At 37.2% G+C, this 19,386-nt stretch overlaps 1 protein-coding gene across 20 annotated transcripts in view; it reads right to left on the bottom strand.

The window, feature by feature from the left end:
* The window catches only part of SOX5 (SRY-box transcription factor 5), a 1,033,147-nt gene that overhangs the window by 988,052 nt on the left and 25,709 nt on the right, over positions 1-19,386 (bottom strand). The gene's annotated exons all lie outside the window — the stretch shown is intronic.

Here is a 19,386-nt window from a genome sequence, read left to right on the forward strand (position 1 = left end):
AGGATATCAAGAGATCACAGCTTGAGATGATAATTAATGTCCTTAATGATTACCCTACATCACTAATGGATGTTTAACCCTGACCAAACATGTTATCTAATAAAAACTGAAACATAATTCTGTCAAAGAAAACATAATTAATTCCATGTTTTTTTTTTTTTTTTAACAATCCTCCCAGGTTTACAACTCAGCAACAGGTAGGTAAGCTTATATTCCTACACAAATCTCTCAGCAAAACATTAAAAGCTGTCCTTGTATCAGAATTCAAAAGTTATTAACAAAATCCTACAGTAAATGGACCTCTACAAAAATTTTGAAACCTTCTTTATACCAATTCCTACTATTTTCAAGTAGACAACTTCCATCCCATTGAAAATAGTGAGTAGAAAATGTAGTTTCAACGTACAATACAAAGTACAATTTAGTGTTTTGAATCTCTCACAAAATCAGTTTCTCACAACCTTCCATTTTGCTTTACATATGGTTTATTAATCAAAAATTTTATTAACACTTTAGACTTTTTTTTTTTTTGAGGCAGGGTCTCACTTTGTCACTCAGGCTGGAGTGCAGTGGCCCAGTTTCTACTGACTGCAACCTCCACCTCCCAGCTTCCAGTGTTTCTCATGCCTCAGCCTCCCGAGTAGCTGGGGTTACAGGCATGTACCACCATGCCTGGCTAATTTTTGTATTTTTAGTAGAAACGGGGTTTCACCATGTTGGCCAGGCTGGTCTCAAACTCCTATCCTCAAGTAATCTGCCCACCTGAGCCTCCCAAAGTGCTGGGACTACACGCATGAGCCACCATGCCCAGAGAGACAAACCTCATTTTAAATTAGCTTGGAAAAGCTCTATTTCATCAACGCTCAAATTCTCCCATTGTTACTTAATCAGAAAATGTTGGAAAAAAGAAGTGATAAAGAACAAAAAGGTCATTTTTCTTTCCTTCAGAAAGTACAGAGAATCACTTATATCTCAGCCAAATATATTTAGAATATTGTCAGCTCAAATTGGCATGATTGACACTACTAGATAACACCCAAAACAGACTCAGGGCAAAAGAAAGTTGTTATCATAAGCACTTTTGTGATCCATTTATTCCCCTCTGTAAAATAGGTAAGAGAATGCGCCAAGATATCACACATAGTCATTTACATACAGTATCATTTTATGGAATTTTCCAAGGTGTTAATTAAAAGTTTTAATGAATGTTAATCATCTGTCAATTTCATTGGCAATCTCTGTTCAACCATATGCTTCACTTTTACACCTGTAGGCTTTAAAAATCATTAAATTGTTTTACTTCCTTAATATGATATTTGTATTAATATTTAGGAAACAAAACTTCTGCAGCCTATACAGAAATTTTCTATAATTCTTTCGTGTGTTTTCTAACTTCCTTAAATAAGGTATGATTATGTAGGATTGCATGATCATTATACTTCCAAGAGAAAATATAAAAACGTTTATTCTTTTTTAAAAAAAATCTTTATTTTGGGTACGTGCCTAGAAAATAATGCAGAGCTGAGAAATTGAGAACGGTATGGCATCCTAAAACCCTAGAAATAAAATTCTCTCTCATTAAATCATTGTACAATTTTTGCTACGTGAATTTTTTTCTTTTTCAGTATGTTCTTATATTTAATCATTCATTCATTCACTCAAAAATATTTACTGAGCACTCTTCTAAGTTCTGGACATATAGGAATGAACAGAACAGACAAATATTTGTCTCCCCAGTGAACTTACTTTCTCTCCTTAAAGGAGGCAAGAAAATTAAGAAAATATATAGTAAATTCAAAATAGTAAGGGAGCAGAAAGAAGAGAAGGTAAAGAGGAGATGTGTATGTGTTGTTGGGAAGGGGTGGAAAGAAAGAATAGTGAAATTTTAGATAGAGTGACCAGGAAAGAACTCACTAAGTAAATAGATTTGAGAAAAAAAAACTAAAGATGAGTATACCATTCAAGATACCTGGAGAAAAAGTGTTCTATGCAGCAGAAACAGGATGTACTAAATTCCTGGGTTGGAAAAATGCTAGGAGTATTTAACAATCATCAATTGTGGATGGAGCAGACTAAGCAAAAGAGAAGGTATTAGGATATAAGGTTCAACAGGCAGGGGAATAACAAATCATTAAGGCCTTGTAGGCCACTGTATAATTTAGCTATTGATCCATGAGAGAAATGAAACCACTGGAGGCTTTAAACAGGAGTGAAATGATTCGTACACATCTTAACAAGGTCACCTTGGAAATGTAAATCCAGATTCACAAAACTCAGAGCCTCTCCAAAATGATCAATCCACAGAAAACTAGACTGAGGCACATTACAATCAAATTGTCATAAGGCAAAGACAAAAAGAGAATTTTGAAACAAGAGAAAAGTGACTTGTCACATATAAGGGGCCTATATAAGACTATAAGCAGATTTCTCAGCAGAAACATTTCAGGCCAGGAGAGAGTGAAACAATATATTCAAGTACTAAAAGAAAAAAAAAAACCTGCCAATCAAGAACAATATACCAGGCAAAGGTATTCTTTAAAAATCAAGCAGAGATAAAAAGACTTTCCCAGACAAACAAACACTTTTGAAGTTTTTCACCAGTAAACCTCCCTGAAGAAATGCTTAAAGGAGTCCTTTGAATTGAAATGAAGACATACTTAACAGTAACATGAAGGCATAAATCTAACAGTTAAAGGTAAATATATAAACATATACAGATAAATGAAACACTCTAAAGATGGTGCACAAATTATTTTTAATTATAATATAAAATTCGATAAAAATTTGTTAGAGGAGGAGAGAGTGAAAGTATGGTGGTTTTGCATGCAGTCGAAGCTAAGATGCTATCAACTTAAAATGGAAGGTTATAATGATAAGATATTTTAAGCAATCCTCAAGCTAACTACAAAGAAAAAAAATCTATAATAGACACATAAAAGATAAACAGTAAAAAAAAACAAAGCAAATATACACTACAGAAAAGCATTAAATAAAAAAGGAAGACAGCAAGAAAGGAAGAGAGGTACAAAACAACTGCAAGACAAGCAGAAAATAACTAACAAAATGCCAGTAGTAAGCCTTCACTTCTCAATAATTACCTTAAATGTAAATGAGTTAAATTCACCAATGAAAAGGCACAGAGTGTCTGAATCGATAGAAAAAAAATCCAGTGATATACTCTTTACAAAAGACTCACTTTAGAATTAGAGATACACATCAGCTGAAAGTGAAAGGATGGGAAAAGGAATTTCGTGCAAATGGCAACCGAAAGAAAGCAGAGGTGGCTATACTTTATCAGACAAAAAAGATTTAAATCTATAGCTAGCTATAGCTGTCTCTAGAGACAAAGAACATCATTATATAATGACAAAAAGGTCAATTCAACAGGAAGATATAACAATTATAAATATAAATACACCTAACATCAGAGTACCTAAATACATAAAGCAAATATTGACAGATCTGAAGGAAGAAATTGACAGTAATAAAACAATAGTAGAATTTTTTTTTTCTTTGAGACAAAGTCTCGCTCTTGTCCCCCAAGGCTGGAGTGCAATGGTGCAATCTTGGCTCACTGCAACCTCCGCCTCCCGGGTACAAGCAATTCTCTTGCCTCAGCCTCCCAAGTAGCTGGGATTACAGGCGTTTGCCACCACACCCGGATAATTTTTGTATTTTTAGTAGAGACAGGGTTTCACCATGTTGGCCAGGCTGGTCTCAAACTCCTGACCTCAGGTGATCTGCCCATCTTGGCCTCCCAAAGTGCTGGGATTACAGGCGTGAGCCACCACACCTGGCCAATAGTAGAAAATGGTAATAATTCACTTACAATAATGAATAGAAGAGCCAGACAGAAAATCAATAAAGAAAACAGCTGACTTGTAAAATACTATGAATCAAATGGACCTAACAGACATAGACGGAACTTTCTACCCAAAGGCAGAATATACATTCTTCTCGAGCAAATGTGGAACATTCTAGAGGACAGATCACATGTTAGGTCACAAAACAAGTTCTTGACAAATTTAAGAAAATCAAAGTCATTCAAAATTATCTTTTTAATCATAATGGAGTGAAATTAGAAATCAATAACAGCAAGAAAATGAGAAAATTCACAAACGCATGGAAAGTAAACAACACACTCTTGAACAACCATAGGGTCAAAGAGGAAATCAAAAAGAAATATAAGAAGTATCTTGAGACAAACGAAAATGAAAACACAACATACCAAAACCTATGGGATGAAGCAAAAGAAGTAATAACAGAAAAGTCTGTGGCAACAAGTGCCTAAATTAAAAAAGAAGAAAGATCCCAAATAAACAATCTAATTGATACCTCCAAGAAATGTAAAACCAAGCCCAAAGTTAGCAGGAGGAAAGAAAAAAGAGATCAGGTAGAAACGAATCAAATAAAGACCATAAAATAGAAAAAAAAATCAGCAAAAGAGCTGATTTTTTTGAAGATAAAATTGTAAAACCTTAGATACACCAAGAAAAAGAGAGAGAAGACCCAAAATCAGAAATAAAGGAAGAGACATTACAATGAATGCCTCAAAAATAAAAAAGATCATAAGAAACTATTATGAACAATTAAATGCCAACAAAGTGGATAATGTAGAAAAATAGATAAACTCCTAGAAATATGAGACTTATAAGAATGAATCACAGAGAAACAGAAAGTCTGAACAGATTTATATATCTAGTATAGAAGTTGAATCAATAATCAAAAATCACCAAAGAAAAGCCTAGGATCTGACGGTTTCACTGGTGAATTTAAAGGACATTTAAAGAAAAATTAATGCCAAGCCTTTTTAAACATTTCCAAAAAATTGAAAAGGAGGGAACCTTTGATATAATTTATTTCATAAGGCCAGCATTACCCTGACAAAGCCAAACAAAGATATCACAACACCACAAGAAAAGAAGCTTCAGGCCAATATCTTTGATGAATACAGATACAAAAATCCTGAGTAAAATACTAGCAAATCAAACTCAACAGCATATTAAAAGAAACATATTCTATGACCAAGTGGCATTTATCCCGGGGATGTAAGGATGATTCAACAGACACAAACAAATTAATGTGATACACACATTGCAGAATGAATAAAAATCACATGAGCATCTTATAGATAAAGAAAAGCATTTGACAAAATTCAACACCCTTTCATGACAACAACTGTCAACAAACTAGGAAGAGAAGGAAAGTATCTCAACAGTAAAAGCCATATATAAGAATTCCACATCTACTCATATTCAACATTGAAAAACTGAAAGCTTTTCCACTAAGATCTGGAAAAAGACAAGGATCCTCATTCTCACCACTTTCATTTAACATAGTACTAGAAGCCTTAGCCAGAGCAGTTAGGCAACGTAAGGAAAAAAAAAGATATCCAAATCAGAAAAAGAAGAAGTTAAATCATCCCTGTTTGCAAGTGACATAATCTTATGTGTAAAAAAACCCTAATGACTCCATTTAAAAACTGTTAGAACTAATAAATATAGTAAAGTGGCAGAATACAAAATCAACATACAAAAATTGGTTGCATTTCTATACACCAACAATAAACTGAAAAAAATAGGAAAACAATATCACCAAAAAGACAACATACTTAGAAATAAAGTTAAATAAGGAGGTAAAAGACTCGTACACTGAAAACTATAAAACATTGGTGAAAGAAATTAAAGAAATGAATAAGTGAAAGATGGCCCATGTTCATGGATTAGAAGAACTAATATTGTTAAAGTGTCCATACTACCCAAAATGATCTACAAATTAGATGCAATCCCTATCAAAACTCCAATGGCATATTTACAGGGTTAGAAAAAACAATTATAAAATTCACATGAACCCACAAAAGAGCTCAAATGGCCAAATCAATTGTGAGAAAAAAAGAACAAAGCTGGAGGCATCACAGTTCTTAATTTCAAAATATATTAGAAAGCTATGGCAATGAGAACAGTATGCTACTGGCATAAAAATAGACATGTGGACCGATGGATCAGAAGAGAGACCCCAGTAGGAAATTTGCACATATACAGTGATCTGATCTGCAACAAGGGTGCCAAGAATAAACAGTGAGGAAGGAATAGTCTCTTCAGAAAAATCGTGCTGGGAAAACTGGATATTCATAGGCAAAAGAATGAAATTATACACTTGTTTCATATCAGACACAAAAAAATCAACTCAAAATGGCATGCAAACTTAAATGTAAGACCTAAAACTACAAAACTCCTGGGAGAAAACATAAGGGAAAATCTTTGTGACATCGGTCTTGGCAATGATTTCATGGATATGACACCAAAAGCATAGACCACAAAAGGTAAAATAGACAAGTGGGACTATATCAAATAGCTTCCGTGCAGCATAAGAAGACAATCAAAGAGTGAAAAGGCAACCTATTAAATGAGAAAACATATTTGCAAACTATATGCGATGGTTAATTTTAGGTGTCAACTTGATTGGATTGAGGAATATCTAGGAACTGGTAAAGTAATACTTAACGGTTTGCCTGTGAGGATGTTTCAAGAGGAGACTGGCATGTGAGTCAGTGGACAGAGTGGGGAAGAACCACTTTCAGTGTGAGTGGGCACCATCTAAACCAGATTCTCAGGCCTTTGGCCTCATACTGAGAATTATAACAACAGTTTCTCTGGTTCTGACGTTTTAAGACTCGGACTAAGCCATGCTACCAGCACCTCAGGGTCTTCAGCTCAGAGATAGCCTGTCATGGGACTTCTCATCCTCCATACCCATGAGCCAATTTCCCTAATAAATCCCCTCCCATCTATCTATCTATCTATCTATCTATCTATCTATCTATCTATCTATCCATCCATCCATCCATCCTTCTATCCATCCTACTGCTTCTGTCTCTCTGGAGAACCCTAGCTAATACACTCTATGTCTGTTAAGAGGTGAATATCTGAAATATAGAAGAAACGTTTTCAATTGAAAAAAAAATCCTGATTTTAAAATGTGCTAAAAATTTAAATATACAGGTATATGAAAAGATGCCTAATGCCACTAATCATCAGAGAAATGCAAATCAAAACCATAATGAGATCTCACCTCACACCTGTCAGGACGGCTAGCATCAAAAAACAAAGGACAAGTATTGGTGAGAATATTGAGAAATTAGAACTTTTGTACACTGTTGATGGGAATGCAAAATGGTACACTCTCTATAAAAAATAGTACATCATGCCTGTAAACCCTTGGGAGGCTGAAGCAGAAGGATCGCTGGAGGCCAGAAGTTTGGGACTCGCCTGGGTAACATAGTGAAATCCCATCTCTAAAAGAAAAAAAATAATTAAATCGGCTGGGCCTGGTGGCATGTTTGAGATTGCAGTGAGCTAGGATCCTGCCACTGCACTCCACTCTGAGTGACACAACAGGACCCTGTCTCAAACAAACACAAAAAAAGTACAGAGGCTCCTCAAAAAATTAAAAATAGAACTATCATATTATCCAGTAGTTGCACTTCTGGGTATTTATCCAAATGAATTAAAATCAAAATCTCACAGACAAATCAGCACTCACATGTTCGCTGTGGTACTATTCACAATAGCCAATATGTAAAACAACCTAAATGACCATTGACAGGTGAATGAATAAAGAAAAAGTGATATATACATACAAGGCAATATCATTCAGCCTTTAAAATGATCCAATATGCAAAAACATAAATGAACCTTAAGCACATTGGGCTAAGTGAAATAAGCCAGTCACAGACAAATACTGCATGAGTTCATGTAAATAAGATATCTAAAATAGTCAAATTCCTAGAATCAGAGTGGAATGGAGGTTGCCAGAGTTGGGGGAATGGGAAGTGGGAGTTGATAATCAACAGGCACAAAGCGCCAGTTAAGCAGGATGAATGAGCTCCAGAGACTTGCTGCAGAATGTCTTACCTATAGTTAAAAATAGTGTATTGTGCACTTAAAAATGTGTTAAGAGGGTAGATATCATGTTAAATGTTCTTACCACAATGAAATAAAAAATTAAAAGAAAAGATTAGAGAAGCAGTAGCCAGGCCGGGCGTGGTGGCTCACGCCTGTAATCCCAGCACTTTGGGAGGCCGAGGCGAATGGATCACGAGGTCAGGACATCCAGACCATCCTGGCTAACGCAGTGAAACCCCGTCTCTACTAAAAATACCAAAAAAATAGCCGGGCTTGGTGGCGGGCGCCTGTAGTCCCAGCGACTCGGGAGGCGTGAACCCGGAAGGCAGAGCTTGCAGTGAGCCGAGATCGCGCCACTGCACTCCAGCCTGGGTGACAGAGCGAGACTCCATCTCAAAAAAAAAAAAGAGTAGCCAGTAGGTATGAAGAAAACAGAAGCCAGGTGAATGTTGCACAGCGTGGAGTGCAGTGGCACTACACGGCTCACTGCAGCCCCGCACTCCTGGGCTCAAGTGATCCTCCCACCTCAGCCTCCAAAGTAGCTGGGACCACAAGCACGCACCACCATGCCCGGCTAACTTTTGTACTTTCTGTAGAGACAGGATTTTGCCATGTTACCCAGGCCGGTCTCATACTCCTCGGCCTCCCAAATGCTAGGATTACAGGTGTGAGACACTGCACCTGGCTGGGAAGAATTTAGAGGAAAAAAATTAAACAATTTTTCCCAAGCAATTCTTCATTAAACAGATGGAGGCAAATGTGTAGTAGCTGGAAAGAAATGGCACTAAAAGAGTGTTTTTCCTCTTAAAATGGAAAAAATAACAAGTTAGCAGGTTGATGCAAAGGACCTAATAGAGAAGGAAAATTTGATGATGCAGCGGAGAGAAGAACGTGGGTGGAGTCCTGTATGAGCAGACAGGAGAAAGAGACTCTAGGACCCAGTACACATGGAAAACTCAGCCTTTACTAGGGACTCGGTTTACACATAGCGAAAACGCAAACGCAGAGTATATAATGCAGGTGGGTGCGCAGGTGTGATGAGAGAAGCTTCAAGAAGTTCTCTTTCTTGTTCCTTTCATTTTCTGGAAGAAATAGGAAACAAGATCACGAGCTGAGAATGCAGATGGGAGAGGAAGTATAACAAAAGCGCAAGAAGAAAGAAGAGTGGGCTCCCCCAACCACAACAAGCCAGGCTCTCTCCCATCACTGGGCCCAGCACGTGCTACTCCTTCTCTTGAGAATGCCATTGTCATCTCAGAATACCATCTCGTTCCCTGACCACCCCAACCAAAGCAGGTCCTGGGAACTACTGTCCGCCACATTATGCTATTTAGTCTTCTTCTTATGAAATTATCATATTTCTTTTTTTTTTTCTTAAGACAGGGTCTCACTCTGTTGCCTAGACTGGAGTGCAGTGATGCAGTCATAGTTCACTGCAGCCCTCAATCTGCCAGCCTCAAGTGATTATGCCACCTCAGCCTCCCAAGTAGCTGGGCCTACAGAGGTGCACCACCACACCATACAGTCTCTGTATGGTGCCTAGTCTGCTCTCAAACTCCTGGGCTCAAGCAATCCTCCCACCTCGTCCTCCCAAAGTGCTGGGATTACAGGCATGAGCCACCACGCCCAGCCATATTTCTTTATTGTTTGTTTTCTATCATGTCCATGAGATTTTGAGCTCCTTGAGAACAAGGGCTGTCTCTTTTGTTTACTGCTGCATCCCCAATGCCTATGAGTACCTAACCCATGGTAAGTTCTTGATTCACCAACCCATGAGCTAGCTACTGGGAGAGTTTAACCTCCCCAGAGAAGTGCTGTCTGCATGGGACATGTATTTGAGGTCAGTGTCTCTCTGTACTGTGATTCCAGATGGAGAAAGAAGACAAATAAAGGATCAGAAGAGAGAGAGAGGTGATGAAAATCTAGTCATATGTTTGTTATTACCACTTGAATATCAAAGTTAAAACTTGTTGTGCCAATGTCCTTGCCAGTTTATCTACAATGACACTCAAATAGTGAAAGCTGGTTTGGGGCATGGCTTGAATTCACCTCTAAATATGACACTGAGACAACAATTCGGTTTTCAAAGTCTACCAAATCTACTATCAGTAAGGAGGACTCTATTCTATATTTCTTTTCAGTTTTCTCTATTGTAAATTTATTTTTGTCTCCTAAAGTATTGCTTCACATAATCAAAAGAAAATAGTTGCTATTTCCTGACCTTCTCCAAGAAGCTCAGAGTCACACTGCATAGTACTACATTCAGCTTCTATGTCCAACTCTTCACCTTGTAGCTATTGGGGAAATATAAACATAGCACTAGCTAGTTTGTCAGGGGAGCTAAATGTCCTACTAATTTCTTAAAAACAAAAACAAAAACACTTTTTTCTTTAACAGAGAATGAGTGAGTCATCACAACTTGTAATAAATGTAGGTGTCAATTATTTTATGAAGAGTGAATGAAGTTTACATGATGTTTTAAAGTGACTTTTCCTTAGAGACACATCACTTACTTGATTTATGTGGCTGACACTAGCAAAACATTCATTTACAAAAAGCTGTCTTCATCACACACTTCCATAAATGCAAGTTTACGAATTTTTATTACTTTTGTTTTATTTCAGGGTCAAACATAGGGAATGAATAACCTCTGCCTGGCTCATATGCAGCATTTTCATGAGAAGGAAGCTAAGAAATTTGAGGGGACATCGCATAGTCACGTAAGACATGACTAAGATTCTCCTCTTTGCCACTTCTCAAGATCTCATTTATACAAAGTGGCAGAGTCGGCTCTGCTGGTCTTGACCTGTACATCCCCTTTTATGGAAAATATAAACAGGAATTTTTTTTTCATGGCTGGAGGTCTTTCCCTCATCTAAATATTAAAGTCTGACAAGTCTTTCCAATTTAGGGGCGTAGAATCATGTTTGCTACTCCTTAATAATTAGGAGCAGGGTGATTGATAACTATGAAAAGTTGAAAGAGTATCCTGGTGGTTGTAACAAGTTTCAACATGATCCAAAGCTTTGTCAATAACCACAAGGGGAAAAAGAAAACAGAAGGAAAATGCCTCTCTAGAGTCCTTCATTTCGGAGAGAAGAGTGGATGCTACTGATATATCACTATCCCTTGGAAAACGTCTCCACACTGTAGGTGGCCAAATGGTAGCCAGCCCATATTGCGAGAGCGCAGAATCGAGTCCAGCAAGGGAGCCAGGAAACCTGGGTCTCTGACCAGTTCTCTTACTTATCTATGTGACCTTGAAAATCTCATCCAGCATCCTCAGTGGATCTAGAGGAAGCATTTATAGGCTATGGAATAGTGTCCCAGTTCTAAAATTCTGTTTCCATCAGCTAATTTAAAGTCTTAAAGAAAAGTCTGCAAAACATTCCTGAAAGCCTGGATGTTATAGCTGACCTGTTTTTGTAGGCAAATATTCAGTATTATGATGGCTGGCATTGGTATGCTACTTTCCATTTACAATATTTATAATATTTAGAACATTTGAGATTTTACATATATCATCTCATTTATCCCTTTGAGCAATCTTGTGAAATATGTATCACTGTGTCCTTGATAAGCTAGGAAAGAAAGAAAGTGAAAGAGAAAAGAAATGAAGTAACTAGCCTAAGGTCAGAAGGAAGGTGCCATAACTGTCACCCAAGAATCTGTCCTTATCACTTCACTTAGAATTATAATAATCAGCACAAGCCCAGTTACTACACAGAAAATAGAAACAAACAATGAATATGGAGAGAATAAAAGACTCTCTGAGAAAAGAAAGATTACACGTGGCTTCCATGAATTCAGATAATACATTACTTTACCACATCGGGTTTTTTCCCCACCATTTAATTCACTGTTTTTCAGAGAAGTGAGTCTAAAATAAATTTGTCTGTAGTGGCAAATTTCCTAAAACAAATATTAAACACAGCTACTGGGATCTTTGTAGCATGTTATCAAAATAATGAGATATAAATACTCAATTTATATACCACATACCTTTTAACGAAAAGAAAATATACACATCATCCCACAGGCCTGAGCTAAAATTTGTATTTACATTACTCAAGAAAAAGAAAACAAGAAGCAGAATCTTAGAAGAGTTCAAAGATGAAGGTCATGGGAGATATCGTCAACACTTGGTGGTACCATCAGGAATCTTACTGCAAGCTGTAGAAGAACCAAAATGAACAAAATGCAAAAGCAGACCTTGTAATTTTTTTCAAGAGTTATCGCTTGCAGAGCTAGTGCTATTCTAGTTAAAAAGCCATACAAGGCTGGGCGCGGTGGCTCACGCCTGTAATCCCGGCACTTCAGGAGGCCGAGGTGGGCAGATCACGAGGTCAGGAGATCGAGATCATCCTTACTAACATGGTGAAACCCCGTCTCTACTAAAAAATACAAAAAATTAGCTAGGCGTGGTGGCGGGCGCCTGTAGTCCCAGCTACTCGGGAGGCTGAGGCAGGAGAATGGCGTGAACCCGGGAGGCAGAGCTTGCAGTGAGCTGAGATCACGCCACTGCACTTCAGCCTGGGCGACAGAGCGAGACTCCGTCTCAAAAAAAAAAAAAAAAAAAAAAGCCGTACAAGTAGGACTTTATCAAAAGGTACCCAACATATGAACAAGTGATCATAAACCCATCAACAAAAATAACTACAAATCTAGCTGCAGTACTGGTTATTCTACATTTCATCAACACAAGGTATGAACAACTAACGTCTATTTGAATGTTACAGTTTACAAAATGCATTCACATAATTAACTTATTTTATTCTCACAAAAAATTCTACGCACTAAACCTAATTTTACAGGCAAGGAAAGAAAGAGTCAGAGTTCAGTGACCTGAGCATAGTGACCTAGATGATGTCGTCGGATCCTCTCCCTACAATGCTGTTTCTGAAGTAGTAATGAAAAAACTGGGTTGGGATATATTATGTGGGTAATAGCTACATTTATTTAAGCCATTATAAGGTGGGAGAAGTCTATAAAAATAATATGTAGAGCTCCCCTAAACCCCATCTCTACTAAACATACAAAAAATTTAGCCAGCTGTGCTGGCGTGCACCTGTAGTCCCAGCTACTCAGGAGGCTGAGGCAGGAGAATCGCTTGAACCCAGGAGGTGGAGGTTGCAATGAGCCAAGATTGCACCACTGCACTTCAGCCTGGGCAACAGAGTGAGACTCTGAAAAAAAAAAACACCCTAGTTTTCATTGCCTTCTCTACTCGTATCTAATATGCAACTGCACTCCAGCCTGAGTGACAATGCAAGACTCCATCTCAAAAAAAAAAAAAAAAGATTAAATAGCACTCAACTATTTTATTTTAATCCAACACTCTCTGTTGAACCTACTCTTGCTTGTGTCAACCCTTCTAATATTACTCATTGTAGTGGAGAATTCCAAAAATCTCTGGGGATGTCACAATGAGGAATCTGGACACAGTGATAGCTGAGATCTACTCTGAAATGAATATCATATGATCTGGTGAATACTGAGTTTCTTACTAAATAAATCGGCAAAATTATGGCCTTTTAAAATTTATGACTATATAAGTTAGTTGTGAAACTCTGTACACATGATTGTGTATATTTCTTACTGTTTATCCGTGGAAATTATCTATTTGCAAGCAACTGTGCTAGTCTACAAGTGACCAGACTGGTCTTGAAGAGCCAAAAAATAAACTCAAATGAAGAAACTCCCTGAAATATGTTTTGCTACTATGAAAATTGGAGGCATTTCTGACCAACATTAAGCAGGAAAAAAAAATCTACATTTAAGATATTTAGGCTCTGGAAACATTGGATTATTATCTGAAAACTTAATATGAGACACAAAAAGCCACTGAAATTATTTTTTCCATTTGGACAACTTAGCTCAGAATTAATGGTTTTGAAAGACCCTGTGCATTTTTCATAATTTGGAAAGGACAGGCACACCAATCTAAAAATGGACACATTTTTGCATGTCAGTTATAACAGATGCACACAAAAACACATGAAATATATTGTGATTATGACTATACTATATATAGTTATAGTATAACTATAAAGTAATGTAACATATTTTAAACCTATTTTAATCCTTCACAGACAAATAAGTGTGGTCCTTCAAAGAAGTGAATGTAAGAAACTATATACTCATTTCTCTGTTGCTACTAGTGCTTAAAATACTTTTAGAGCCCCTGTTTTGTAATCTTCCAATTTCTGAGTGACCCAAGAAAACAGGTGTGTTACTTGAGCTCCACAATTTGTGTTGCCCTCCTCTGCTACCCCCACCTTTCATTGCCTGCCTGCTTTATTCACTGGACTTGGTCAAATATCTTTTGACCATTTTCAAATATAAAGCCTTCCTTCCAAGTAAGAAAATTTGCCCGCTGAGGTTATCAAAAGAGTACGCCTCAGGCTCTATGGCAGCTCCAAAGTAGAATTCCTGAATATTCTGAGCAATTTCAGTCGTCGGACCTCAAGGCAGGACAGAGAAAGACCTCAAAATTAGCATGAGGACTTTTTCAGCAGACCAACTATTTAAATTGACAATAAAAGTTGGACAAAATGGTCAACTTTGTACGTAAGCCTAATGAAAGCAAATATCAAATGAAAGTAGAAAAAATACAGCTTGTTAAAACAGGAGCCGGGGAGGTCTTTTTCTTCCCTGCAGTGTAGAAAATAATCCATTTAAGGGGTGTACCCTTTTTCTATCTATGTAATACTCAATTTATCTATCCTTGTCTGACAGACTCATACTATTGCAGAAAACCAAAAGATCTAGGTTTGGGTGGGTACCTGGCTCCATATCTTTCTCTGTCCTGCCTTAAGGTCCTACTACTTGGAATCCAATCCAGCCACTATATCTAAAACCAACTGATTTGAAGCTATTGCCTTCTCAACATGCAGACTGACCCAAACAACTACGTGGGGGTCACTGAAGAAACAGAGAAAAATGCACTGATATGAACAAAAAAGACACTACTAGTCAGACTTTGCATCAAGTTTATATTCCCTCCAGATTCCTGAAGAACGTGGACACAGACCCAGGAGCCATTTCATCAGGATGCATAATGTCAAACTCCCTGAAAGGGGGAGACAAGACAAGGACGATTTACAACATTACCAAGTGGGTATACTTTAAATTTTCAGTGAGATCCTGTATCTAAAACAAATTCACCAATAATGTCTGGCAAAAAAATTAAAATGTTATAGAACTGATTCCAAGTAGAACAGATTACTGATAAAAGTGTCATTAGCAATAAAAAGACTAATGGCCCTTCAGACTAAAACTACCATTTTCTATATGCTTCTAACTCCAAGAATCTGTTCCTAAATGATTTCATAATGAAATAAGAAGTGTCATATAGAAAAGCACTCTGTTTGGAGGACACTAAATGAATCACAGGGTTTTCAAAGCGAGCGTCATAAAATGAGTTTACTAGCAGGTAACCAGAAACTACATGACTTCTAACTACTGGAAAACCACCAGTAGCCTCTCAAAAGAGAAAACTCAGAATTTCAATAAATCCTTTTACTGTACCAACTATTTCCATTATAGCAAGGTAAATTGATTTAGAAGTCTATATCCTCAATGAATTTCTAACTTTTCAACAAATTATCACTTAAAATTTCAATACATTATTTGTTTTCTTCATACTTGTGATATATAGATGCATTTCTAGGTTTTTTTTCTTTCCAGGGCAAGTTAAGAATTTTTTGAAAGACATAATGAATATGATATTCTGTTGGAATTAATCCATGGTCAATTCCATTTTGTAAGGAGCTTGTTCCAGACAAAAAGATGCCAATTCCCTAAATGAGTTAGACTCGTTGACATTAGAACTCAGAGATTCTCTATCTTGGATATGGAAGATAATTTGATGTTAAGTTCTCACATACACAACGTATTTCTGATGATACATGGAACACAGGCTCTTTATAACAAATACCCTGAAGATCTTTAATTGGTAGTTAGGAAACATGCTTTTCCTAATCATCAAGTCTCTTAAATATTATGTTTTTAAATATGCATTTAGGGAAACTAATGAGGTAAGATATGAGAGGGATAAAGAAGGTATGTTGTTTTCAAAATTAAAATTTTCAGGACATCAGTCCAACAGGCATAAAACAGCATAAAACAAATAACTAGATAATCAAATAATAAAAACAAACTAGAAGTAATATGAAAGCTTTTTTAAAAACTGTTATTGCACATATGCAATAATTACTTCCATAAAGACTTTTATTATACATTTGTTTTTATGGAATCATAATGTACAAGTGCATGCTATTGTTTAAACACATTCACCACATACCCCATAACAGAATATGATGACAATATGTATTAAGGATAATACAGAAAATGTAGCTAAATGCATTCTGTATTATGGTTCCATATTACAGAATGCAAATGGTTCTGACTAAGCAGACACAGGAGACAGTCGTTAGTGTGCACGCTGTGAATGTATATTATGAATAATGCATAAAACTTGGCTAAACCCTAATGAGTCCATTGACATCCTATGGGGTCCAAAGGAGGCTCAGATCCCAAAGCATGGCCCTGTCCATTCCTACCCACCAATCATTATAAAAAAAGATACTGTGAAAACAAAGGATATTAAACAACACAAATATACTCTCATTCTAGGTAAAGGTTTTGAAATAAGCAGAAAAATTGGAAGAAACTTTGAAAAGAGAGCTAAAAGTCCATCTTACATCATCACTCCACTTGCAGTTTTTGAAAATTATCCACTGCAATTCAAATGGGACAAAAGCTGCAGTTGAGGGTTTCATGTTATTTCTTTTCTTTGCTTTTTTTTTTTTCGGGGAGCTACTATTACAAGCAAGATCTCAGCAATCCCTCAGAAAAGTGACCAAACTCTTAGACCATGGTGGTAGAAAGTCTTCTTTCTTTGAAAGACTAATGCTTACAAAATAAATTATAGTCAATAAAATAGGGAAGTAGATATAATATGTCTAAAAGCATTCTTTAAGAAACTCCTTAAAATTCTGGTTTTTACACAGCTTTTTAAGGAATCAAAAAAGAATGCCATGAGTACATTACTTACAGCACATTTTTTAAAAAATCAATGTTTTTTCCAATAGCCATTAACTAGAGACTCTTAAAACCTGAGTCCTTGAAAAGAGAAAGCATAACATCTATTATCCCTACATGAGTGTACCCCAAGATGAACACCTACATGGGTATGTTTAACGTGTTCACTGAGCCAAAAATGCAGAGCTGAGCAAGCTGTGCTTGAGATGCACAAATTAAGTATGTGACAGAAGTCTGTGCATCCAAAGCCTCTCCTAGGAGTGGGGCTGGGAAAGCAAGGACAGCTGCTTCTTCATGGTGCTCCCAGGAGTGGGTGGGAAACGGGCATTCTGAGAACACATCCCCAGAGTCCAGAGGGGATGCGAGGGCTGGCCACTTGGGGAAGCAGCAAGCCAAGAAAAACCCTGCACTCTCAGAAAACATGCAAGAGCAAAATGTCGAAGTGAGAACTGGAGTTAAAATTCTGGGATGGAGTTCTTGTCAATTTGCCCAGCTCCATGAGGTTTTCCCATCCCTTTACCAGGTACAACAACCAGACCCAGCCAAGGCAAAGGCCCAAACTGGAAGCCACCATGGAGCCCAAGGCATGAAATGCATAACCACCTCCATCACTGAATTCTAAAATGCAGGTCATTTACCATCCCATATTTGGGCTAAAATCGGCTCTTGGCTTAGCTTTACTGGGAATTTAGCCTATGTGCTGTGAATAGAGGGCTCACTGGAAGACCCCTTCTGCAAAATAATACTGTCATAGTTTTCCCGTCTCTCCTCACCCACATAGGCAGAAATACTAACTGTAAACATTGATGAAAAACAACCCTTCATAAGTTTCTATTTAAAGTACAAATACTCCTGGGTATAGCTTAGAAAAATCATGATAAATTTGTTTGTTTTTAATTTGCTTTCTTTTGTGAGAAGAACTAGGACAATAGAGGATGTCTTAGTATGTTTGGGGTAGTTACCAAGCGATCTGAAAAGAGGGTAAAAGGTTAGAGAAGACAGGACACACTGACAGATTAACTTTGCTTGCTTTTCCAATTGCAGTAGCCCAGCCAAGGATTTTGTGATGAGGAATTAAGAGTTTTAACAGACTCTTAAGGTTGAAAACTTTCTGGACACTATATCATTATTTTTGTATTTACAGCTGGGTAAGCGCAGTCACTGTTGCTAGAGCATGAAGTATGAAAATCATACAGAAAAATAAGGTATCTGTTGAAACTGCTTCTGCTGTTTTCCTCGTTCTAAAATTTGCCTCATATCAAGTGCAATAGAACAAAGTTCAGTTCCTGATAGAACCATTCCATAAAGCTATTCTGCCTCTGAAAACCATTCTCTACCACGGCTGGTCCCAGCTCCACTATAAGCGGCTGACAATTGCTTCCCCCGCCCCACCACCCTGTGTTCCTTCACCCCCTCCCAGATGCCACCAAAAGAATCACAGAAAGTCTCTCAGTAGCACTTTGCTTCTCAGCAGGAAGCTGTACTGTTTGTGATATCCATTTTGATTCAAACCTAAATTAGGCCTCTGGAAATAGGTAATGCACAAAAAGAAGCATTTTGTGTCACCAAATTATTATTATAGGTTACTGTTAACCCTTGGAAGATAGAGGTGAGCTCCGTAGCTCCCCACTGAGGTGACTATTTGTCATGAAATCATAGGCCCTACCTCAAAAGATGTTTCAGGTGAGCTTGCAATAAGGCAAACTGTCTAGTTGACCTATAGGATTCTGAAAGCTAGTTTAAGTGGGAAAGCTAAGAGAAATGCCAGTTAAACAAAAGGATCAGCACAGCATGGGGAACCAGCAGTGTGCTAGCACAAGTTTAACAGCTGACAGCACCTAGAGAGAGATGTCGGGATCAAGGCATTTTACTATCAGACCGATTTAAGACCCTTCCCTTCAAAAGCGCTCCTTGCAAAGACTTGTAGGGTTTTGAGGGGCAAAAGTTCAGAGCAACACACATTTTTTTTTAAAGAGGTCATTTGCGATCAAACTGTCAACGAGTCCTATTAAAATAATGAATTCCAGTATGGAATATGCTGATGCTTCTATTTTTTCATACAGTTTAGATAGTAAATAAATTTTACTTTTGAAAATCCCTGCTCAAAAAGTTAAACTTCTGGCCCTAATTAAGATTCAGAAAAGTCTCAGAGCTCACCCTAAAAGTACTCCTGCATTACAATCCTAGCACCAGTTCTTGAAAACCTTTGTCATTTTTACTTTTTCTAATTTAAGCTTTGTAATCTGTGATTCTCCCATATTCTTCATCACTACATTAAAATAAGCAGCATTCGTAATGTTATTTATAAACACAGCTGAATTCAAGGATTCAAATCAAAGGCAACTTTCTATCCACCTATATTAGGGAAAAAAACATGCAGAATATGCATGTCATCTTCTCGTCATTCAGCACAACTCGGGTTCCTTTCTGATTCAAA

Source organism: Homo sapiens, chromosome 12 (genome assembly GCF_000001405.40).
Source record: "Homo sapiens chromosome 12, GRCh38.p14 Primary Assembly".
Lineage (NCBI taxonomy): Eukaryota > Metazoa > Chordata > Mammalia > Primates > Hominidae > Homo > Homo sapiens.